The sequence below is a fragment of the Homo sapiens genome, chromosome 4, assembly GCF_000001405.40.
Source record: "Homo sapiens chromosome 4, GRCh38.p14 Primary Assembly".
Lineage (NCBI taxonomy): Eukaryota > Metazoa > Chordata > Mammalia > Primates > Hominidae > Homo > Homo sapiens.
In genome coordinates, this window is record NC_000004.12 from 81,425,232 (window position 1) to 81,451,195 (window position 25,964).

General features: G+C 39.6%; 1 protein-coding gene across 3 annotated transcripts in view, besides 3 other annotated features; it reads right to left on the bottom strand.

Moving 5' to 3' along the window:
- Positions 1 to 1,161: 1,161 nt before the first annotated feature.
- Positions 1,162 to 25,964, bottom strand: part of RASGEF1B (RasGEF domain family member 1B) — a 45,515-nt gene continuing 20,712 nt past the window's right edge. For 2 of the 3 annotated variants that reach the window (NM_001300736.2, NM_001300735.2), the window contains 10 exons: positions 22,838 to 23,050; positions 22,273 to 22,347; positions 20,512 to 20,607; positions 20,295 to 20,397; positions 17,066 to 17,145; positions 15,603 to 15,698; positions 9,408 to 9,503; positions 8,609 to 8,732; positions 7,068 to 7,140; positions 1,162 to 2,561 (listed from right to left, as the gene is read on the bottom strand). In NM_001300736.2, the coding sequence (NP_001287665.1) occupies positions 2,537 to 2,561; positions 7,068 to 7,140; positions 8,609 to 8,732; positions 9,408 to 9,503; positions 15,603 to 15,698; positions 17,066 to 17,145; positions 20,295 to 20,397; positions 20,512 to 20,607; positions 22,273 to 22,347; positions 22,838 to 23,050 (981 nt within the window). In that variant the 3' untranslated portion in view covers positions 1,162 to 2,536. Of the gene's footprint in view, positions 2,562 to 7,067; positions 7,141 to 8,608; positions 8,733 to 9,407; positions 9,504 to 15,602; positions 15,699 to 17,065; positions 17,146 to 20,294; positions 20,398 to 20,511; positions 20,608 to 22,272; positions 22,348 to 22,837; positions 23,054 to 25,964 lie in introns of all 3 variants that reach the window. The other variant, NM_152545.3, reaches the window with a different exon arrangement.
- Positions 1,944 to 2,528: an enhancer, noted in NCBI's record as "OCT4-NANOG hESC enhancer chr4:82348329-82348913 (GRCh37/hg19 assembly coordinates)". NCBI's record gives its function as "activates a minimal SCP1, AML or CMV promoter by ChIP-STARR-seq in primed H9 embryonic stem cells {active_cell/tissue: H9 hESC(primed)}" and the evidence as "EXISTENCE:reporter gene assay evidence [ECO:0000049][PMID:30033119]".
- Positions 1,944 to 2,598: a biological region, named in NCBI's record as "Sharpr-MPRA regulatory region 8336".
- Positions 2,304 to 2,598: a silencer, noted in NCBI's record as "tiled region #8336; K562 Repressive non-DNase unmatched - State 7:EnhWF". NCBI's record gives its function as "represses a minimal TATA promoter and a strong SV40 promoter by Sharpr-MPRA in K562 cells {active_cell/tissue: K562}" and the evidence as "EXISTENCE:reporter gene assay evidence [ECO:0000049][PMID:27701403]".

The following is a 25,964-nucleotide window of genomic DNA, read 5'->3' on the forward strand; positions in this document are numbered from 1 at the left end:
TACAAAACAAGCAGCTGGCTAGATCTGGCCATCAGCCCATAGTTTGCTGACCCCTGGTGTAGATGGTTGAAAGATGAATCTTGTTGCTGTCACAATAACCAAAGTGGTAGAGGGATCAGGGAAAGGCAGTGCAAGGAAAAAGGAGGCAATATTGTGAAGTTGCATTCATCACGGTTTTTTTTCTGTATCTTATGATGTTCTGGTATCTTATAAATTTTGCTGGCAGGGAAGAGACTCCCAGGACTAGCTAATTCTTGGAGACAGCAAAGGACTGAGCCCTGAGCATATCTAACTATTGTCAAGAACATAGCCGCAACCTTCCCCTTTATCTAACTTTCACACACCAAGCCAATATAGAAATTGCCCTAACTCACCCCAGGGGCTAGGTACCAAGCAAATGGAGACCGCCCCTCCAGCCCAGAGCCTGCTGGAATTATTCAGACTTGCCAATTGGAAACTGTTGGCCTTGCTCTGCCTTGCCTCCCTGCAGAAACCTCAGTCAAAGCCTATGCTTTCTTCTTGCTCCTGCTTCTGCCCCCGACCGACACCGGTGCTTCCCCTGTGGCCCTGCATGGCATGGCATGTGCCCTTTCTCTGGGGAAATTGAATAATATAAAGCTTTCAGTGGCACTGGCCTCTGTGTGTCATCACTCAGCTACCCCCATAAATTAAAATCTCAACAGGTATCATGAGGCAGAAGTGTCTTCCTACTCTGAGCGGGATCCCAGGACCAGCAGCATCAGCATTCCCTGAGCCTCATCCCAGACCGACAGAATCTGCATCTGCATGTAAAAAAGATTCCCGGGTAATTTGCAAGGATATTGAAGTTTGAGATGCTGTGGTGGTGTGGTTTAAAGCTTGAGGTCTGGAATTAGAAGGCCCATTTCAAGTATCTGTGCCTCTCATTAGCTATGTGGCCTTGTACAAGTTATTATTATTTCCACCCCTAATAGGTAGAGATGAATCTATGCTAAACACTTAGAAAATGCCTGGCAAATAATACTATCATTCTTTTTTAAAAAATAAATGCCCATGCACAAACTGTTAAGATAACTTCCTCAGATACATTCTTAGCCAGTCTCTTGAACTGATCCACTGTGATTATAGCCCATGCCCGCCCCCAACAATTCCACCCATAAAAGAAAAGAAAGACGCCACAACTCCTGGCCGCAGAGTGTAAAATATATTGATGGCTGTAAAGGGACAACTTGGGGATATTTTAGGTCTGCTGAGATGATGCACAGCATACATACATGCTCTAGTTTTTGGAACCATGTCATTAAGTTTTCAAATACATCTGTTTTGAACATGGTATTTTGTTTTTCTCATTAGCACGAATTACTACTCTACAGTTTCTTCTAGAGTAAATAAATATAATGGCTGTTTGCAGAGCGACTACAGACTTACTTAGATGTTTAACAAGGTGAACGATTTCACAATTAGATCAACCATTGAGTTAACAGCAAGGTGTTTTTCATCTGTTTTGTTTACTGCTATAGTGGGGACAGGTAACTTCTCCAATTTATTCTTTGTTGACATCTTTAGTTACCAACAGACTCCCAAAAGTAATGAAAAGTCGATTAAAAAGAAAATTGTAATTATGCCATGGGTTTTCCCAAGATCCTTAAAGTCAGCTCATTTAAATTTACAAGAGAAAAATAACAGGCATCATGGAAAACTAAGTAACAAAAAGCTATTGAAAAATACATCTGTGGAACACAGTGGTCAGTTGTAAACAGCTCAGAAGAGCAAAAAAAAAAAAAAAAAAAAAAAAAAAAAGTCCTTCTAGCATGTTAAGCAGTCCAATGACAAACTCTGCTTTTTATTTTCTTTCTAGTGGCTATTTTCCTACCACAGTGTTGAGCTTCATTATTATATTAAATAACTTATATGGGTAAAAAGGAGTTTGCTAACCAGCAGCCAACTCAAAACCTTGTAGGAGGAGGGAGGAGAAAAATTTACAACACAGCACATACTAAGGGGAAACAAAGTCTGCAGTCAGCTTCCAACCAGTCTTACCCCTCTCTGGCAATACTGATTGAGCTAAGGTTTGGGATCTAAACGGGGGGGTTTTAGATCCCCTCCCTCCACTCCTTTCTTCATTTAAGTTAACAAAAGAAACGTGGGCTTCCTCAGAGCCAGCACTCAGCTGGGCAAGTCCCATTAGCAGCAAATGTTCAACCAAATTAAAAAAAACACACACACACAAAAGAAAACTCCATCCAGGTGCAGAGCTGTGATTCACATGGAAATTCCAGGAGATGAATAATGTGCAGAGCCGGGATTTTTAGAGGATTCTTTCTCAAGTGTCTTCAGTGAACATTTCAGTCTCACAAAATCTGAGTCTATCTGTCAGCTGCAGGAAATAAGTTCTCCATCTGGTCTTGAGTGAGCTTGTGTGCTTTGCTGACCCGGGTGCTCCAATGACTGCAGGGTCTTCATGAGTGTTCGTGGTACGAGATGCCAGAAAACAAAGGCCAGCCCCTCCATGATCTGCAGGAAGCAGCAGCAGCAGCAGGCAGGCAGCTCCCATGTGTTAAACTCTGCCTAAGAGGCTCGACCTGAGTAATAAAAACAACACAACCTAAGACAGAATGTAACAGACTACTTGAACTAGGATGAAAATGCCTTGTGTAATACTAATTTTATCTTTCCTGTGTTTTAAGTTTGATTTTACAAAGTTAAACCAGGAAAAAAAAAATCAAGCTTTTAAGTCCTATTGGCTCTCTGGGAAAACTGCCAGTCACTTAAAAAACAAACATTTATTAATGGAGATGGCAAAAGCTTAAACAGATAAATCTATATCTTGCGTAGGTTTATATTATAACAAAAACAAAAAAAGCAAAGATCATTAATGATAAAGAGCTTTTAGGTACAGGTTATCACAGATAGATTTACTTGGTAGATATAAGCATCTTCACAACACATTCCATGAACACTGGGAGAGTTTAAACAATAGTTGACAATAAGGGTGTCTGCCGTCAGAGGTGTATCTGCCACTGATGAATCTACGTGTCTGCAATGAATGGCTCTAGGGCCACCAAGAAAAGCATCTATGTAAAAATATCTTACTGCCTTCAAAGCTAATGTATAAAAGTTTTCAGGTAGGTACAATGATTCCAGAATATAGTCAGCCCTCTCTATCTGTGGGTTTTGCACCTGTGGATTCAATCAACTGCAGATCAAAAATATTTGAAACAAAAAATATGGGTCTGTACTGAATATATACAGACTCTTTTTCTTGCCATTGTTCCCTAAGTAATATGGTATAACAACTATGTATATAGCATTTACATTATATTAGATATTGAAATTAATCTAGAGATGATTTATGGTACAACAACTATTTACATAGCATTTACATTATATTAGGTATTATAAGTAATCTAGAGATGACTTAAAGTATAAGAGAGGATGCATATGGCTATATTCAAGTATTATCTATTTATTATTTTGAGTTTACCCTAACAGGTTATGTGTTATTGAATCAGTAAGACTGATGGCCACAAGAAAAGAATATTTCTGAAAACAACAGCAACAGAAAGTTTCATTTTATTATACCAGGGACTAGAGCATCCTCAGATTTTGGTATCTGCAGGAGGTCCTGGAACCAATCCCCCATAAATACCAAGGGATGATTATGCTTAATCTTAGTATCCACTTAACGTATGTATTTTGTAAATTATAATAGCCTGTTTTATTTTGTTTTAACTTCTTCGTGGTTGCTATGCCTTGGCCAACACCTGCGATAACCCAGTACCATTCAATGACACTACAGGAGCATGGGCTGACGAGTAATAGAGAGCAAGACACTGTGTCCAGAGCTGGGGCAGACATTAGGGGAAGACCCTGTGCTTGCCCTCAAGGGGCTTACATAGCAATAGAGAAAACCACAAACACTACACAAAACCACATGGCTGGTAACGAGAGAGGAAGAGTGCCTCCTGAGTGTATGAGTTCTGGAGAAATTCTTTCTAGGGAAAAACGGGCCAGGGACGGGGGAGGCATTGGAGCTGGGCCATGAGAACAGACAGGATATGGAAAAGGCAGAGTGTGTGGCTTGAACACCAACACAGATGAGAGCTGTTCTTCAAAGCTCCTTAAAAAACAATTTTAACGTGGAAACTGTCTTTTATACCAAAGAATATAATTTTCATTTCAACCAATTGATACGGGAGTGCTGGGAGGGGAAGAGCACGGTCCCTTTAAATGATACGGAATGGGGAAGGGAAGTGCTGGGTAGAGAAAGGCAGGTCCCTGGCTAGGGCTCAACCCCCACGGACCTAGGTGAGGACAGACATTTCCTGCCCAAATGTTGCATTTCCCAAGACCACCCTGGCCCACCACGCCCCCATCTTGGGCCTATAAAAACCCGAGACCGCCGGCAGACAGACACACAAGTAGCTGGACGTGGTGAGGAACACATCTGCTGAAGAAGACGCAAGTGGCGAGTCGTCGAGAGGACATTGAGGGGAGCACACTGGTAGAAGGGCACGCCGGCAGGGCACACCGAAAGATGCCAGCACGCAGGACAGACTGGCGGGATGAGGCGGAGTTTGGCAGGGGCAGTCTGAGGAGCGGCTGGTCGTCGAGAGGACACTGAGGGGAGCACGCTGGCAGATGGGCACACCGACATACGCCAGCACACTGGCAGGCCACTTACTGGCGGGACGAGGCGAAGTTTGGCAGGCGCAGTCGGAGGAGAGCCTGGGCCACTGAGTGGCCCCACTCCAGTGTAAAAACATCTCCCTTTGGGCTCCCCCATAGGCGGAGAGCTACTTCCACTCAATAAAACTTTGCACTCTCACGCCTGTAATCCCAGCACTTTGAGAGGCTGAGGCGGGCGGATCACGAGGTCAGGAGATCGAGACTATCCTGGCTAACATGGTGAAACCCCGTCTGTACTAAAGATACAAAAAATTAGCCGGGCGTGGTGGCGGGCGCCTGTAGTCCCAGCTGCTTGGGAGGCTGAAGCAGGAGAATGGCGTGAACCCGGGAGGCGGAGCCTGCAGTGAGCCGAGATCCTCCCACTGCACTCCAGCCTGGGCGACAGAGAGAGACTTCGTCTCAAACAAACAAACAAACAAAAAGCTTTGCACTCATTTTCCAAGCCTATGTGCGACCCGATTCTTCCAGTACACCGAGGCAAGAATGCTGAGATACAGAAAGCCCTCTGTCCTTGCCATAAGGTAGAGGGTCTAATTGAGCCGGTTAACGCAAGCCACCTATAGATGGCAAAATAAGGGAGCGCCTTGTAATACAGGCCCACTGGGGCTTCAAGAGCTATAAACATTCACCCCTAGACACTGCCGTGGGGTCGGAGCCCCACAGCCTGCCCACTGGTATGCTCCTCTAGAGGTTTGAGCAGCAGGGCACTGAAGAAGGGAGCCACACCACACCCCCATCGCATGCCCTGGGAGGGGCACAAGGGAACTTTTCCCATTTCACAATCAAATGTTAGATGTCATATATTATGTGAACAGTACAGACGTGGGAAGACATTATACAGTTCAATCTTTAGCTTTTAAAGTCAAACCTTTGACTTATGAACCTTTCCAATCTAACCATTAGTTAATATGTCATAAAATAAAAAGAACTATAAAATAATTTTGTAGGTAGGTCTGGATTAATTTAAAATGTCTGGAGACCACAGGTAATGCAGATACCAGATATCATTTATGTGTAGCCAATCTGCTTACCAATTTTTAAAATAATCTACAAGAAAAGTAACAAAAGCTAAGCTATACCCAGAGACCCCACCAAACTTACTGTTTTTAAAAATACAGAAAGGAGGGATTAAAAAGGAGACATATGGAAGGCAAAATGTATCAAAAAAGGATAACTAAAAGGAGTAATTCTCAAATCTTTTATCCAGCAAGATATGCACTCTGAGGCTCATGTTTTGCACATGAATAATACTAAATAGCACAGTGAAATATTTTAATACAAACACAGAGTAATACAAAATTTTAATTGAAATGTGCCACTGCCAGGCACAAAATTATATATATTTTATATAATATATATATATATATAATTAGTCAATGCATTATTAGTTCTGTACATATATATATAGGCATCAGCCCAACAAGCCTGTTATATCCCATGGCTTTAGGCATTAGCCAAACCTTCTTTATGTTTGTGTCTGGGCATACAAGGAACATCTCCAATCCTTCACCAATTACTATGATATCCTAAGGATAAGAATTCCAATGCCTTCATACCTTATCCCTCATCACTGGGAGGTACAAAGAAGGCCTAAGCTTTCCTTTGAAACAAACACAACCACACAAAACCAAGTATATCTTAGATATCCTGGTTCATGAAATCTAGCCTAATATCAAGTATAATGAAGGCTCTCAAATGATTATGGGACCACAAAAATAAGAGAAAATGTGCTTGTAAACCCTAGTACAAAAAGGTATACATTCTGAGTTTCTCAGTAGGACTATAATGATAACAAGTTTGATTATATTATACCCTGGGCTGCTTTTGCCTATTAAAGTATCTCAAATGCTTAAAATACAAATTTAACCCTATTCTAGTTTTCTTCAAACATACTCATAGGATATCAAAAGTTGTAAATCTGAAAAATCTCCAGATTATGTTTAAAGTCCCAACTCTCTCAAACAAAGAGGGGACTGAGATCCACTTGGAAAGTGGCAAACCCAACTTTATAAAGCCTACTAGTACTTCTTTCTTTATCTCAGGTTAAATAAAATTTTAGTGTCAGAAGAACTCTTCAGAAATAAAGTCTGAACTTCTGATATTTTAGACAAAGTCAATGCATTTTTTTTAACATACTATGGCTCAGTTCCTCATTCTATTAAATAATGGGAGAGAAAAAGAACAGTCACTGTATATCTGCCAATATAAAAAAAATGAAAGACAATAAAGCAGAATGATGGTAGTGAGAATTCTGAGCCACAAAGATTTGGTGTACAAGAGATAAAGTGCAGAGGACTTGGAACAGATAGACAGCAGCTTCCTATAGAACGCATGTGGCTTTCTTCAAGGAAAGCCAATTTCCTTCAGACTTGTGCAGCAATGAGAAGAATGAGACCCACCTTAAAGACTTCCATCTGTCTTTCTCTATATGATTTTCAGGTCCTTCACTCTCATAAGAAGCCAAGTAGAGAGCTACAATCAAACAAAAGAAAGTGCATTAACATTAAAGCCTTCTCCTGATATATTATCTACCACCACCCTTGTTCGACTTGAGCCAAACTCCATAGCAAAATACTCTTCAAAATATCAAGTCATGACCAAGAAGCTTCACTGTTTCATGAAGAACACAGAATATCACTTTGCCTCTGACTGACCATCTCAATGAAAACCCAAGGGCTTCTAAGCCAAAAATGCACTTAATTACCTAAGAATGTATAAGGCAAAAAAAAGCTTATAAAATGTAAGCCATATGATGCTGTCGTATACTCAGACTTAATGTTCTTTACAAAGAAAGGGGTGGGAGTTCTTTCCTGGTAGTCTGAGTTGTTTTTTCCTTTTTTCTTTTTTTTAAAACTCTTTACTAGGTAAAAAGCCTAGGTAAAAATTTTCTAGACCAATTTTCCATTCTACTAATATTTTTCTTCCTTTTTAAATCAGAAAGACTCTTCATTTAAAAATTCAAAAGTTTGTTATTAGTCCTCTTTATAGAGATTAAAAACAAATCCCCTCTGGCATAGGTGATATTAATTAAAAATGTTCTCCTGGCTGGGTGTGGTGGCATAATCTCAGCAGTTTGAGAGGCTGTGGGCAGATCATGTGACCCAATAGTTGGAGACCAGCCTGGGCAACACAGAAAAACCCTGTCTCTACAAGAAAAAAAAAAAAAAAGAAAGAAAAAAATTAATCAGGCATGGTGGTGCACGCCCGTACTCCCAGCTATCTGGAAGGCTAAGGTGAGAGGATTGCTTGAGCCCAGGAGGTTGAGGCTGCAGTGAGCTGTGATCGTGCCACTGCGCTCCAGCCTGGGTGACAGAGTGAGTTGCTGTCTTAAAAAAAAAAAAAAAAGTCATTATTGTAAATACTATCAATCTACTATGAGAAACTGTTAATAGGTGCTATTAATTCCTGTAATATTAGGATATAACAAATCAATAAAATAAATCTCTAAGTATTTTATGAGCTCACTTCTGATGATTTTTTTCTGTATCTAATCTCTTTTTCTGCTTCAAATTCCCTAATGTTTTAACAGGTCAAAATGTTCCAGTACTTTTTTAAACGGCAGGGGGTAGCAATTTACTGTTTTTGTTATTTTTCTCCAAATTACACTGACTATCAACATACCACAAAACACCTTTTGTCTATTCAAGTAAGCTCAAGCAAGAAAAAAAAAATTCTTCAATAACCCCATTTGTGCCCATAGCTGTGCAAATCTGGTATTATAAAGAATACTTAAACACAGAAACCTACTGTTTATAGGTGAATATTAAGTGCAAATATTTTAGGGACAAATCATACATTTTCTGTGAAACAGAAAACTCTTAACATGGAACAGATCAGAGGACAGGCCTCATTACTATATGAGTAACCAAGCATTTCTATACTAATTTCCTAAATGAAGGATTTGGGGATGCTAGTGGTAGCTCCTATTGAATGGCCTTACCATCTTCACTGAAGACTGGTACTGTGAGCAGATACTGCAAGATCTTCCGGTCCCTCTCAAATGGACACTCCACTTGTTTCCATGTCATAAATTCACTCACTTGTTTGGCCAGTTCCCAAAATTTCTGGAAGATAAGTAAAAAAAGAATATAAAGGTGATCATAAAAAAATAATTATGAGTTTGGGAGAGGCAATACCATTTGAAATGATTCCTTCTTATTTTATTAAGGAGACAGGGTTTCACTCTGTCACCAAAGCTAGAGTGCAGTGGTGCAATCATAGCTCACTGCAACATCAAACTCCTGGGCTCGAGCAATCCTTCAGCCTCAGCCTCCCTGCTACTAGCAGGGACTACAGGTGCGAACCACCACGACTAGCTAATATTTTAATTTTTTGCAGAGACAGGGTCTCACTGTTGCCCACGCTGGTTTCAAACTCCTAGCCTCAAGCAATCCTCCCATCTTGGCCTCCTAACGCACTGGTATTACAGGCGTGAGCTACTGCAGCTACTTTCTGGTATTTAATCTTCTGAATTAAATAGTTTTCTTCATTTAATAAAACTCTATTTGTGAGGTAAAAAAATGTTCTCAAGTTCCCTCAGATAGTAATAATCATCATCATAATGGCTCAGCTATTCTCTTCTACTTGGTATTGTTAATTTCTAACAAAATAATATGGAAAGAGATAATTTGTTCTGAAACTGCAGAATTGGCTTTGGCTGCCTGGCCAGGAATGCGGTGCTGGAGAAGCTGCCCCTCTCCTTGTGCTTGGATTTTTGTATCCTACTTTATCACACTCACCTCAAAATTGACATGGCCATTGGGAAGGCGGTTGGCACAACCCTCATTGAGGAAATAAATATCTTTGATTAAGAGACTGAAGAATGGTATCACAATCTAGAGGAAACAAAAGATTCTGGTTGGTCTGGGCAAACAAATATTTAGCCTTTCATAAAAATACACAAGATTAATGAACAACATTAACTTTTGATTATATGAAAGGCCACAAAGAATTAAGGTACAGTGTTTTGTTTCTTACACAACAGCAATTTCTTCCCTTACATAATTTTGCTTATACTACAACTGCTATAACCAAAGCACAGCAAGGACAAGTAGCAATGGGAAGTGAATAGGTTAGTACTTTTATTACAATTTTTCCTATTTTTCTCATTGCAGTAGTATGCAATAAAATCTGAAAACTCTAGCTATTATGAAAGAAAAAATACCTAAAAGAACTCTTGCCTTTCACTTAGCAACCCCTTAGCAAAATGTTAATAGAATACCTATCATTGGGCCGGGCACGGTGGCTCACGCCTGTAATCCCAGCACTTTGGGAGGCCAAGGCGGGTGGATCATGAGGTCAGGAGATCAAGACCATCCTGGCTAACAAGGTGAAACCCCGTCTCTACTAAAAATACAAAAAATTAGCCAGGTGTGGTGGCGGGCGCCTGTAGTCCCAGCTACTCGGGAGGCTGAGGCAGGAGAATGGCGTGAACCCGGGAAGCGGAGCTTGCAGTGAGCCGAGATTGCGCCACTGCAGTCCGCAGTCCGGCCTGGGCGACAGAGCGAGACTCCCTCTCAAAAAAAAAAAAAAAAAAAAAGAATACCTATCATTGCAGGCACCGATTTTTTTTTTTTTTTTTTTTTTTGAGATGGAGTCTCGCTCTGTCACCCAGGCTGGAGTGCAGTAGTGCGATCTCTGCTCACTGCAAGCTCCACCTCCCCAGTTCATGCCATTCTCCTGCCTCAGCCTCCCGAGTAGCTGGGACTACAGGAACCCACCATCATGCCCGGCTAATTTTTTTTTTTTGTATTTTTTAGTAGAGACAGGGTTTCACCGTGTTAGCCAGGATGGTCTCGATCTCCTGACCTTGTGATCCGCCCGCCTTGGCCTCCCAAAGTGCTGGGATTACAGGCGTGAGCCAACGCGCCTGGCCTTTTTTTTTTTTTTTTTTTTTTTAAGAGACAGGTCTTTCTCTGTCACCCTGGCTGGAGTACGGTGGTGCAATCATGGCTTACTGCAGCCTTGAACTCCTAGGCTCAAGCAATCCTCTAGCCTCACCCTCCTATACCTGGGACTACAGGCACGTGCCACCACACCCAGTTAATTTTTAAAAATTTTGTGTAGAGATGGAGTCTCACTATGTTGCCCAGGCTAGTCTCTAACTCATGGGGGTCAAGCAATCCTCTTATCTCAGCCTCCCAAAGTGCCCAGATTACAGGCATGAGCCACCAAGCCCAGCCATGTACCAAGATTTTAAGATGCATGACCCATCTCCCTGCTAGAAGCTGTACTGCTTATTATTTAGACTTCTACATTTAAGATAAACTTTTTTTTTAGATAAACATTTTATTTCTTCTTGAAGACATTCCTCAAGATAATGTGAGAGTTCAGTTTAGAATAGTTGCTACAAACTTTCTATTGTAAACCTAGCCTGTGTATGATGAACAAGTTAGCACCTGCTCTCATAGGAAATCACCTAAGAAGTACCTTGCATAATATGTTTTGAGACAAATATGCCCCAGGTGAAGGAGGAAATATGAATGTATAAATTAAAATTAATAGCTGTTTAAAAACAATAAACCTTTAAAAATACTTTCCCATCTGAATTCTTTGGCTTGATGAGGTGGTATTTAATTAATTAACCTAAAGCAATAATCTCTCAGTAAGTACCCCAAATCATACTAAACCTACAAGAAACAGAGAAAAAGGCTCACATACAGTAATTTCCATTTTCTCTCAAATGTCAACATATTTTTAAAGATCCTAAATTTCCTACAATGTAAAAAATCCACTAAACACCGATCGTGGGCCTATCTTGTTTCCCCAAAGTCAGATCTTTTAAGTTCCCTAAGCTTATGACTCAGGTGGTACTTCTATATTGAGTGAACAGAAAACATACTTTTGGGCTCACACACAAAAATATTAAGTATCAATTCCCTTCTAAGGAAAAATTCAGATTTTCACCAAAGTCATTTAAAAAACAAGTTTTGATTATTTTTGTTTCATTGATTTCTGAAAATAACCAAAATGAATCTTCTGTTTTGATCTCTTTTGACATCTCACCTAAATATACTTTTAATCATTTGTTATTATCTCGGACAGTCTCTAAAGCCAAATTAGTAAAGATCTCATTACCTTTCCTTCTAACGTGATTAGCTATTTTCCATTATGTTAGAACTAAACAGCATAGTAACAATAGTAAAAGTACAACTGAACCTTGCTTCTCTGAAAGACTATTTGTGAATGGGAATGCTGGACTTTGGATGCTGCCAGACAACAGCAAAAAATTTCGCTTCAGAATTTCCTGGTGCTATAAGCTAGGAGTTGGCAAACTGTGGCCCTCAGGCCTCTTTTTTATTGCCTAGGAGTCACACATTTTACATTTGTTAAGTAGCTAAAAAATAAAAAAATAATAATATTTCAAGATGCATGAAAATTATATGAAATTCAAATGACAGTGGCCATTGAGTTTTACTGGAAGACAGCCATATTCATTCATCTTCATACTGTCTTCTGTGCTACTGTGTCTAAGGTGAATATGCACTTAGAGGATAATAAGGATACATCATCATAAGACAGCCCCAGGGAAATAAGAATAAAATTATAATCAAGATGTAATATTTGTATATTGTAGCAGCTTTTAAAAAAATAACTTTATTTTTGTGCTCTATTCTTTGGTGCTGAGCTGTGAGATTCATGCAGTGCTGATCATTTACTGTTTCTTATTGATATTTAAACTTCTCATAAATTCACGCCAGGTGCCTATAGCTGGATTATAAATTCTAGATGGCAGAGGCTATTACCTTACATGATTTTTGCATTCAGGGGTGCCTGCAAGATGCTCCACTATTGACTATCTCAATCACTCTTTCATAGAAATAGAAATAATCTTACTTAGGATATTTTACTGCTCTGTTCCTTATGCCTGCATGCAAGAAAGAAGCCTTGCAGGCTTCAACTTCTCATTTATTCATGGATAATTCCCTTCAGATCTGTAGCCCCTACACAAATCTAATATAGTGAAAATCAGATTATAAGGACTTCAGATTTCCATGAGCTAAGTGAATGTACACATTATTAGTAGGAGAAAGCAAAAGTTCATTTTCCTGAAGGTCTTGTCAATGATGTTTTTAGCAGGAGAACTTCTCAGGTAATAATATTTTCGAATTTCCTTTCAAAATATTCTTAATTCAGAGACCCAGCAACTGCACCATAAGGGTTTTGCCAGTTCCACACCTAGAAATGAATGCTGATAAATAGGACCAAGTAAGTTCACAGGAGCAGAATTGGAATGGCAAGAGGATTTAAAGCCATGTAATCATATGAGAAATGGTTAAAAACCTGGAGACACAGGTACCTACAGAAACAAAAAAAACAAACAGCTATTTAAAGAATATTTAAGGGCTGCTGTGTGGAAGACACATTTGGTTTGTTCTCTATTAGGTACCTAGAGATGTGCCACTCTGACCACACAAACTTGAGATTTAAAAGGATACAAAAGATTCACCATATTGGTCAGGCTGGTCTCGAACTCCTGACCTCAGGTGATCCACCCGCCTCAGCCTCCCAAAGTGCTGGGATTACAGGCGTGGGCCACCACGCCCGGCCAAGAATCCCAATTTTCTTGAATAAAAGGTAGATTTAACTAGAAATGCTTTCACTCCTAGCCTTTGAGCCCAACTGTAAAAAGAGATGGCATTTTTTTAAATGGCTGTGATTTTTTTGTTTAAATTTTAAGTTCTGGGATACGTGTGCACAACGTGCAGGTTTCTTACATAGGTATACATGTGTCATGGTGGTTTGCTGCACCTATCAACCCGTCATCTAGGTTTTAAGCCCCACATGCATTAGGTATTTGTCCTAATGCTCTCCCTCCCCTTGCCCCCCCAGCCCCCTACTGGCCCAAGTTATGTGTTGTCCCCTCCCTGTGTCCATGTGTTCTCATTGTTCAACTCCCACTTACGAGTGAGAACATGCAGTGTTTGGTTTTCTGTTCCTGTGTTAGTTTGCTGAGGATGATGGCTTCTAGCTTCATCTATGTCCCCACAAAGGACATGATCTCATTCCTTTTTATGGCTGCATAGTATTCCATGGTGTATATGTACCATATTTTCTTTATCCAGTCTATCATTGATGGGCATTTGGGTTGGAACCAACCCAAATGTTCCATGTCTTTGCTATTGTAAATACTGCTGCAGTAAACATATGTGTGCATGTGTCTTTACAGCAGAATGATTTATATTCCTTTGAGTATATACCCAGGAATGGGATTGCTGGGTCAAATGGTATTTCTGGTTCTAGATCCTTGACGAATTGCCACACTGTCTTCCATAATTATGTAAATTATGTTGAACTAATTTACTTTCCCAACAACAGTGTAAATGTGTTCCTATTTCTCCACAGCCTCGCCAGCATCTATTGTTTCTTGACTTTTTAATAATTGAATGGCTGTGATTTCATTTGTTTTATGAACTACAGAGTACAATTTATATGTTCACATAGAACCTGTTTAAAGCAAAACAAAACTAAAGCAGACATAATTTATTAAATGATGTGAAGGGTAAATACTTGGGACTTTTTGTAGAAAAAAACTTAGAATTCCACAACTGAGATATTTTGGAGGGATTGCACTTCAGAATTTCTTTGGCCAACAATGCAGCTCCCTACTCACAGATATGACTCCACAGCCTCCTCCCTGGGGCAGAGCCCACCAAGCCCTCACTGAAGCCCATGCAGAGAGAACCTTGCCTGCCCTGCAACACAGAGAAGGTGAATGAGGCCACATACAGCCCCTTCAGTGGGCTTACTTACTCTTCAGTGTACTGCAATCCTCCCACATGTGCTCACTGTTTGAAGCTTAAAAGACCTCATATTAGATTTTTTTCTCAATCTAATCACAAGAGTACTGGGATTGAGCAAGTAAAACTTAAAAGCTGGCAAACTCTGTCAGGCTACAGTAAGACTGTCATCTCTGCTTCATACCCCCTCTGATCTTATAAGTTTCTTTATTTAAATAAAAAATTTGAAGTATTTACAATATCCTTCAAACATTGTTAGAACTGATATTTCAGATCTGATTGAGAACCAAGTTCGCATTTATTAAAGGTGGGGTTTTGTGTTTATTTTTATTTCAGATCATTGAGGCCGAACCTTTTTCAGGGGACGTGATTGGGAAGCCATGAAATGTTTTTTACCTCATTTTCTTTTATTTGTGGAAGATATAGTTTAAGTTAAAAGACAGATGGAATCTAAACCGAAAATAACCTCCATCAAGCAACCTTCATTAACCCAGTTACCATAACTAAGTATTCACCTCTCAAATAACATGACTGCCAAATGTTGAAACAGCCTATCCTTCCTCTGTAAAGAAATATGACACCAAAATGTGCCAAGAAAGGACCCTCAGAATCAAGAATATGGTAGATGCAGGATGGTACTAACTTGTTTTAAGAGTAGGGTAGAGTGAGAAAGGACCATTAATTTCTCAGACATGACCCCTGTACTTTTTCTGCTACCCCCATAATCCAATTAGTAACAGCACACCTAATGCTATAGCAACTAACCCACTTTCTGAAAATAAATGACTTAACCATGGGAGGTAAGCTAATTCTTTTAAGAGAAAAGGTTATATTAAGTCGGCTACCTTGTGCAGAGCTTAAATGTCTATTTTCCATTAAACCATTAAACTAAATTACTCTCTAATGCTATGAGTCATCTTAACATATGACTTAATGTATTGCTTGAAACACAATTAAGAGGCACTACAGAGTAATTATTTAAGTAATGTAATAGTAACACAGCAATATCCAGTCTAACAAACTTTCTGGTAGCATTCTCCTTCTCTGTGTGTCAAGTGGTATCATTTCTAGAGTACACATGTCTCTCTCTTAAATCTTAACAAGTAAAAAAACTTCAGTGTCGTAGTTCACATAGCATTTCAGCATAAAACACAGCAACTCTACCATAAGAAAGATACTTCTTTAAGTGCATACCTTTTCTCTACTACTATGAGCAGTTAAAGACCTTTGTGCTGCCCCACGAAGAGCTGTTCGATAATTATAGAAATTGCTTGAAGGGTCCATCTGATGCTATAGATAAAAGAGAGAAGAATATTAACTATTTATTTATTGTAAACTTCTGTAGGAAGTTTATAAGATCACATATTTAGCTATATACAAAATTCAAAATAAGTTAGGAAACTCAGTAGGAATATGATTTATCCTTCTCATACACACAAATGCACATGACACAAGTGTTTTCTTTCCTGAGATTTGGTGTAATTATGCGAGCTGATGTCAGCTTCAATAATGTTAAACCTAAACCGCATTCTTTCTAGGCTAATTGTTGAGCTTAGATGTAAAACAAATAAGAGTCAAACACCAGCATCAGAAAAATTTCCTGTTTGCATCTGAAGGTCAACGGGCCCGTTGATGGTTAGCCATGCATAGTGATCCAACACTTTGTAGTGACAAATCATGCACAAATAATTGAAGCATATCATTTTGCAAGAAGGAAAATAAATGTATTAGGTTGTATGAATAGATCATAACATTATATATATAATGGTAATTTCCAATTTGGGAGAAAACTTGGGAGAGAACACTTTCTTATTGTCTCCAAAGATAGTAATTCGAAGCACTGATATACCAAGGTAGTACTGAGATGAATATGATTCAAATACACATACTCTTGCACGCGATTTTTTTTTTTTTTTTTTTGAGACAGGGTCTCACTTTGCCACCCAGGCTGTAGTGCAGTGGTGTGATCTTGGCTCACTACAGCTCCCACCTTCCAGGCTCAATCAATCCTCCTGCCTCAGCCCTGCAAGTAGCTGGGACTACAGGCACATGCCACCACACCTGGCTAATTTTTTGTATTTTTTATAGAGGTGGGGTTTCGCCATGTTGCCCAGGCTGGTCCTGAACTCCTGGGTTCAGGTGATCCTCCTGCCTCAGCCTCCCAAAGTGTTAGGATTACAGGCGTGAGCCACTGCGCCTGGCCCACAATTCTTACTATCCTCAGAATTGTATGGGAAGGGCTTTTTCACAGGTCAGCTAAATTTGTTGAAAGGATGATGAACAAATGTTACTGTAGGGATGGGGAACCCTTCCCCTGAGACACTGAAGATAAATGAAGCTAATAGGCTCACAGTGAAGTAAAACTCTCAACTGCTCAGGACCAAAATTCCATTCTGACATATAAGGTGATGTGACTGACAGGTCACTATTTCCCCAGTCAATTAACCCCAGAATGGACATCTCTACCTATAAAGCAACCAGTACATAACCTGATTTATTTTCCCCTCCAATTCTACCCACTTTCCTTTCCCTGGGTCTGTAAAGATAGATGGGCTTTTTCCTCTGTCGTAGTCTGATGGAGAGGCAAGACCACATAAAGGAATTCCACTTTCCAGGTGTAAAGTGTTACTTAACAGCAAAACATCAGCTTCACATACCTCAAGAATGTCAAATTTTGCAGTCTTCACTTTGGCCCAAGTTTTTTTTAGTCGAGAGACTGGGCTCATATTCATACCAGCTTCCCATTTGAAATGGAGGGGGAGAAAAAAGGAAAATTGAAAGAGAGAAATAAGAAAAACGATAAACACATACTTCTAAAATACTTTCATTACTAAGTGAGAATTCTAAAATTAGTAAGTAACAAACTCCAATTTTATAACTTTTTTTGTTTGCAAATTCTGAGTTGAGAAACAGCATAAATGCTATCACTGACTCTGTGCAGAGGTGAATACATTTTCTCTATGAAGGGAAAGAGAGTAAGCATTTTAGGCTTTCAGCCCATATGGTCTGTGTCATCACTACAAGACACTATCACTGTCATGCAAAAACAGCCACCATCCAGTTATGTAGATAACTACATAAACAAATGGTTATGGTTGTGTTCCAGTAAAACTTTGTTTATGTACACTGAAATCTGAATTTATATTACAGTCACATGTTAGAAATGTTAGTATTATTATTTTCATTTTTTTCAATCATTTAAAAAGATAAAAACCATTCTTAGCTCACTGGTCATAAAGAAACCAGTGACGGACCATATTTGACCCACGGGTCATAGTTTGCTGACCTTTGACCTAGAAACTAATGTGTCAAACACGCTTTGCGTGTACTATCTCATACATCCCCTCAACATTCTTAAAAGAATATGCTAAAGTTCCAGGGAGTAAGAAATTTTCCCAAGGATATCCAGTTAACAAGTAACAGAGATGGAAGCTCACATGGAGCTAACACCATAACCCACACTCATTCCAACAAGCCATGCTGCCTCTCCTGAATGATACTTTACGTACTATAACTATTCAGAAAAATATTACAGTGGCTGTTGTACAGAAAAGGAACCCATGCCAGCCTAAATGAGTACGTATATTAATTCCATGCCACCAACATTCATATTTTAAGGACCAGAAGTGGGAGATTGCTTCCTAACTGAGGTACAATTTACATACAAAAAATACACAGATCTTAAACACATAATTAGATGAATTTTGACTAATGTGTAAGTCCATGTATTACCACTCCAATCAAGATATAGTAGCACATTTCATGACCCCAGAAAGCTCCTTTGGACCCTCTTTGGTCACCTCCCCACCACCACAGAAATCAGAACAGTGGCTGCCTAAAACCAGAGATTCGTTTTGTCTGTCCTAGAACTTCGTATCAATGAAATCATACTGTATCCACTCTTGTGTCTGTCTTATTTTGCACAACATAATGATTCTAAAATTAATCCATGTTACTTATATGTATCAATTGTTCATTTTTATTGCCAAACAGTATTTCATTGTATTAACATGCCACAATTTATTTAGCCATTCATTTGTAAATGGGCATTTGGATTGTTTCCAGTCTTGGGCAATTATGAATAAAGCTGTGTTCTTTTACAAATCTTTCTGTGGACATGTGTTGGCATTTTCATGGAGTAAATATGTAGGTGTGTGCAATCTCTGCATTGCAGGGTAGAAATATGTTTAACCTTATAAGAAATTGCTGAACAGTTTTCCAAAGTAGTAGTACCATTTTATACTCCTGCCAATAATGTACAATAAGAGCCCCACTTGTTCCACATCTTCAACACTATTTGGTGTAACCAGTTTTTAAAATTCCAGTCATTCTAGTGTATGCAATGGTATTAATATTTTGCTGCAATTTAATTTGTATTTCTCTGATGACTAATGATGTGGAACACCATTTCAGATACTCGTTAGCCATTAATATACAGTATCCTCTCGCATGACAAATCTGTTTCAGTCTTTTGGCCTTTTTTTTTACTGGGTTATTTGTCTTTTCATTGATTTGTAGGGTTCTTTGTAGATTCTGGATACAAGTTATTTGTCAGCTCTATGTATTACATACATTTTCTCCGATGCTATGGCTTGCCTTGACATTTTCTTACTAGTAGAAGAGGCAAATTAAGTAATCTATTATCTAGACTGTGGGCCTTTCAGTCCCTGATTCAGATAATCTTTCTGTTTGCTATTTTCACAGAGTTAGTCAGAAAAATAATAAGCTGAGACTTGGCCAGTATTTTTTATGGGGGGAGAGAAAGAGGAAATGATATGTAAACAAAATGGAAAAATAAATTGGTGGAAGGGAGAATTTATTAGATTAAGATTCTTGAACTAAATTTGGTAGACTCTCTAGCTTCAAACTGATCCTTCGAAAAGACCTCAACTCTCTTCTTCTTCTTCCTTTTTTTTTAGACGGAGTCTCCCTCTGTCGCCAGGCTAGAATGCAGTGGCATGATTTCAGCTCGCTGCAACCTCCGACTCCTTGGTTCAAGCGATTCTCTTGCCTCAGCCTCCTGAGTGGCTGGGATTACAGGCATGTGCCACCATGCCCAGCTAATTTTTGTATTTTTAGTAGATACAGGGTTTCACCATGTTGGCCAGGGTGGTCTCGATCTCCTGACTTTGTGATCCACCCGCCTTGCCTCCCAAAGTGCTGGGATTACAGGCGTGAGCCACTGTGCCCAGCCTATTCTTCTATTCAAATGTTTATTGAGCACCTACAAATTTATAAGATGGCCATATAATTGATCATACAAACTAGGACACTTTTTAATGAAAGAGCTACTATCAAAAGCTATTATCAATAATTAAGGCAAGACAACAAGTATAAATTGGAACAACCAAGACATATTGTTACCATACATATTTATAGAATGAAAGGAAAGAAACATGGTCTCTGATGTTAAAACCTCCATGATATAGAGGAGTGAGTTTGTATACTAGAGTAATAAGGTCTGTGGGTGATAAGTACTAGAAGCCTGAACAGTTAGAAAATGTACCAGTTTCTTAGGCCACTCTCTTGTCCAAGGAATCAGATAACTTAGTCTTGGATCATTATTTCTATAATACTTGATATGCAAGCTGCCAAAATACTTTTTAAAACTCTTTATGTAGACAAATATCTTATGTATAAGCCTTTGTAGATGAATATTTAGCTAAGGTTAACTTAAAACATTCCAACAATTCTTGCATACTTAAGAAAGATTACACACATACTTGCACTCATTTGGCTATTTAAAGCATTTTGGGCATTCTCAAATAACTCTGGATTAAAAAATACAGTCTGTACTAACAAAACCATACTATTTGCACATTTTCTGTGGGTCATTTTACAGGATTCGTAAAGATAAACGACATGTATCCTCCACAAAATACTCACAGATTATCGCCATCAAGGAGTTGAAGTTGCCAATGTTAAAACACTCCCGAGCTACGTCAATGAAATACTCAATCATTCTTGCTCGGTGTTTTTTCTTAACAGGCTACACAGTAAAAGACAATAGAGGGCAGTTATCCAGTATGAAGGCCCAACAGTTCTAAAATAAGTATGAAAAAATAATGTTGAGAACTAGGAGACAGAAAATTCATTTCCTCACCATACAGATTTCTGTAGCAACCAAGTAGCTGAGGCGATTAAACCATTCCACGTAAGCTTCTAAGTTTCGTGTTTTCTTCCGTTCACTGTAGCAACTCTTTAGAGAAAACAAAGTAAACAGATGAGTTAGAGGAAAAAAACAATGTAGTGGACTCTCATTTTGTGAAATACGAGCCTTTAGTCTCAGTTTATGGATTAGGAAAGCTTTTGAGAACAACAGAAAGAGAGAGAGAAAGACAACCACTGGCATTCTTGATTATCCTTACAGAAATATCAAAGTCCTTTAGGATAGTCCAGTGAAACACTTGAGGCCTAGAAATGTACTCTGATGCATTTATAAAAGTGTCCTTAGGCCGGGCGTGGTGGCTCACGCCTGTAATCCCAACACTTTGGGAGGCTGAGGTGGGTGGATCACCAGAGGTCAGGAGTTCGAGATCAGCCTGGCTAACATGGTGAAACCCCGTCTCTACTAAATATACAAAAAATTAGCTGGGCATGGTGGCAGGTGCCTGTAATCCCAGCTACTTGGGAGGCTGAAGCAGGAAAATCGCTTGAACCCGGGAGGAGGTTGTAGTGAACCGGGATCGTGCCACTGCACTCTAGCGTGGGTGGCAGAGTGAGATTCGGCCTCCAAAGAAAAAGTGTCCCTACCCCTCTTCCCAAGATACTAAGTTAGTCTGGATTGTATCTTCAGAAACACAATTCAGAGGAAGAATTCTGGCTGCATTCCAAAACAATCCCGACTCAGATAGAGTGCAAATACCAACTGCTATAATCGATACAGCAAAAAATGGCTAAGAGTACAGAGGAGTAGAACATTTTCTCTTAAAATTAAGCATAGGACAAAATTTTAGAACATAATGTTGCAACAAACTAAGTATCTCCCAAGTAGATAAACAGAAGTCTACACCATCATGGTCTTTAGTAGGGTGAGTAACACATTGTTCAAAGGCAAAAAAGTTAATCTCATCTTGAAGTTCAAGGCCAGCTTGAAGAGGCTAATTACACCCCTCTTTCCTTCCTTCCAAAAGAAAGAGACAAACAAAGAGTCCACTAGCCTTCTACTGCAAAACAAATTCTTCACTTCCTGTATTAGGAGACACTATTCTAAGGCCGGAAAGCAGCTGTTGCCCCCACTCTCAGAAGGGGGCTTTCAGCAGTGTGTGTTGTAGTCTTTGCCTAACAATTCAAAATGCTTCCAGGTCACTGGGAGATAAAAAATTTTCTTATATGTGTACACTGATTTGACAGTCCCTGCCCAGCATTATTTTCTTTAATAGTGGGCTGCACCTAGGCAATAAACCTCTCATGAGAGATTCACCTTAAAACAAGAGGCAAAGTAGTCAAGCCCCTTGCTCAGCAAGCTGGATGTGCATCCTGTCTTTCCTGCCCCTGCTATTGTTGAATTATGGGCAGAACCTTCTCTCTTAGCAGATTCTTAATCTGCTAAAACCATTATGCTTTCGTCTCCTATTTTCATCACCACAAATGCCTGCATCTACTTGCTGTAAAGGTCTTACTAAATTTCCCAATAAGGAGGAAGAAAAGGCTACAAGTTAGTGATGGGGCAATATTATAAAGGAGCTTGGAGACCTCGCTCAAGAAAACTGCCATGAATCAGACGTGGCTGATGGAAAAAAAAAATTCTGATTTTAAAATCTACAACAGAATATAGTTCTAACTTCCGTCCTTTATACCCACTATCATAGACTGATAAATCCCATTTTTGGTTTCAGTGCTGACCTTTGGGTAGACTGATTACCTTGTCATTATCCAAAGGGTCCTTCTGCACGAACGCCTGAACAAATTCTTCTGGCCCAATATAATTGAGCCTCTCCTGAAACACAAACCCAGAAGGTCAACAGTATTAAAGAAAATGAAAAGAAATGGACTGTCAACTCCCTCTATGACTATTGGCACCACCCCCCATTTTTTAATGAAGATTATAAAATAAACCTTTAGCCCTAAATAATTTCATCATCTTCAAGGTCTGTGCGGAGGCAATTTTCTGCTTGGGTCAATGTTCCACAAGATAGTGAAAGGCTGAGCAGGTTTTGGAAAAACTGATTAGAGGCGGAAGGTGAGGAAAGTCAATAAACTCTTTGCTCTTCAGCCTTGTTTAGTATTTATTTACAAGTGAATCCCCAGAATATCAGAAGCATTCATATTCAAATCCATAAACAAAGTATGTTTCAGCTATCTCAGATGATTTCCCACTTGGATTATTCTGACCTCTCCTGTGACATTACCGCTGACAAATATATCGTCTGGTTGCCAAAGCAAAGCAAATCTGTGGTTGTAAAGGGCAATGATGATAACGGCCTTACCAGCTCTATATGAGTCAGCTGCTGGGCCAACGTGTAAGGGTCGTTGCAGACAGTAATGATATCCCTTTGTATAGACTGTGGCTTGGTCTTGAGAACTGTGAGCCGATCTGTGGATGTGGAGCTGATTTTTGCCAGGACTTCTTCGTACTGGCTGAGCGCAGCAAGCTTGCGGATCAGACACTGCATCATTTGCTGGACATTCTTTCTGTATGTCTGCTAGGGAATAAGCGAAGAATTACATCCGTACTCTGCGTGTCTGGTTTTGCCACTAGGCAAACTCAGAGACTGTGTCCTCAAATGATTTTACCTGGACATTGGAGAATAAACTTGGTTAAGGGCAGTTACGGGAAGATTCAGCTAGCTCTAACAGTTTGAGACACATGCATAAGGCATTTTCAAACCTGTAAGGTTTAGTTCTTCTTTGGGGTTGCGACTGAGAGTACAGTTCAGGTTGGGCCATGAAAACACTCCCGTGACAATTTAGATTACATCTTGAGGGAATCCAGTATAATGAGTACTAAGTATAACTGAATGTCCTCTGTTCCAGCAAAGAAATATACCTACCAGTTTACTTCTGGTGGGTTGAAATACATTGATCGCAAGTCAATGCATCCTTTTCCTAAGGCTTTTTCTTTAGGGCCACCTTCTTGATTTCTCTAGTCCTATCAATCTCATCAGTCTGGCTACCTAACAGAAATATACCATTGCTTCCAACTCACCCCCTCGAACCACCTTCTTTTGTTTTGTTTTGTTTTGTTTTCTTTGAGATGGAGTCTCATTCTGTTGCCTAGGCTGGAGTGCAGTGACGTGATCTTGTCTCACTATAACCTCCGCCTCCCAGGTTCAAGCGATTCACCTGCCTCAGCCTCCCGAGTAGCTGGGATTACAGGCATGTGCCACCATGCCTGGCTAATTTTTGTATTTTTGTAGAGATGGGGTTTCACTATGTTGGCCAGGCTGGTCTCGAACTCCTGACCTTGTGATCCGCCTGCCTCAGCCTCCCAAAGTGCGGGGATTACAGGCATAAGCCACCGCGTCTGGCCTACCACCTTCTTGACTTACACATAAAATGTGCATTACCATGAGGAAGCAGTGGATATTCATTTCTGGCATCTGACCTCCACTGGGCTCATAATCATTTCTTTTGCATTCATGACTCACTATTAATGTTCACGACCAAACTCTTCCACATGGCAATTCTCCCTGCAACACTACTCCCAGGTGCCACTTTGTTTGCTACTTCATTATGCTACAGCCTCATGCTTAAGAGAAACTAGTTTAAAAAAGCACTGCATGTAGTTTAGATAACTGTCAACCTCCTGACTTTTAAAACATTTGTTAAATCAAGAAATGACTTCATAATCCATCAATCCCAGGGCACAGCTATGATATAAGTTGCAGAGTCCATTCAGTCTTCCTTTTCTAGCCAAAAATTTCCAAAATAATATTCTTCTAGGTAAATTATGATGCCTGTATCAGAGAAAGGCACACAGGCTGATTCAATGCTAACATGGTCCTTAGGTTAAATCTCCAAAGGAGGATATCCCCAGTAAACCTACAGATGTAGAAAGGCCTATGTTTATGGCTCCATTGGCTTTTAAAAAAATACCACAATATCATTTGCTGAGATTAATTATCTGAAAATTAAGTGGCATTTACCTACAAGTATAAGACCCATAGTTTTTTTATAGAGGCAATTTTGTTTATTAGAGTATATTACAAAAACCCAAACGAAGAGATATTTGCTTATGAGGAGAATGACAACATATCTAGAAATGGTTAACTCTTGCATAGTCAAGGTGTAAAAAGCATACACAGCCTTCTTTTCCTTTTCTTCTCTATTTGTTAGTGTATATTCTGCTGAGTTCTTTAAACTGGTCCATTAGATGACCCCTATTTTTCTCTATAGTCATGGATCACCCTAAAATCACTAATGAAACATCTATGTATTTAAAAATTGAACAGACAAAAATCCCACCTTCCATACAGCACTAAGGTTATCAGTTTAGAAAATGCTATTTGGTAATATGTTTGTCACTCAAGGGAAATGTCTTTTTTTTGGAATTCAAAGCTGTTCAAGGATGAGTTGAGGGTTATTTTAAATCTCTCATTCCTATTTCCCCCTCCTCTTTTAATTTTATAAACTTGAGTTACAGTAAAAATCTATGGCCAGGCATAGTGGCTCACATCTGTAATCCCAGCACTTTGGGAGGCTGAGGCAAGAGGATCCCTTGAGCCCAGGAGATCGAGACAACATAGTGAGACCCTGTCTCTACAAAAACTTATTTATATATTGATTGACTGATTGACTGACTGAGACAGAGTCTCACTCTGTTGCCCAGGCTGGAGTGTAGTGGTGTGATCTCAGCTCACTGCCACCTCCACCTCCCAGGTTCAAGCGATTCTCGTGCCTCAGCCTCCTGAATAGCTGGGATTACAAGTGTGTGCCACCATACCCAGCTAATTTGTTGTTGTTGTTGTTGTTGATGCCTTTTGTTTGTTTTTGTTTTTGTTTTAGTAGAGATGGGGTTTTGCCATGTTAGCAAGGATGGTCTCGAACTCCTGACCTCAAGTGATCTGCCCACCTCAGCCTCCCAAGATGCTGGGATTATTAAGTATGAGCCACCGTACCCAGCCTCTACAAAAATTTAAAAATTAGCCGGACACCTGCAGTCCCAGTTAGTTGGGGGGAACAGAGGTGGGAGGATTGCTTGAGCCAGGGAGGTTGACGCTATGGTAAGCCCTGATCATGCCACAGCACTCCAGCCTGGGTAACAAAGTGAGAATCTGTCTCAAAAAACAAAGCAAACAAACAAACAAAATCTACCAACTTAAAATGTTTTATTCAGTCCTTTGTCCAAAATGTCATAACAAATGACTACATGAGAGTTAGATACTACTTCTAATAATTATGCAAATATTTCCCAGTGTATTACTCAGAATGGCTAATAAACACCTTCTTGGAGATACTTAATTACAGCATATACTATCCAGGGTAGAATCGCTTCTCACCCTTTTGGCTAAGATCAAGTGCAGAGTAGAAAATACATGTTACAAAGTTGAAGTTTCACAGTCAGTAAAGCCTGTTTACAAGAGCAACCCACAACTATATGTTACTACTTTACTA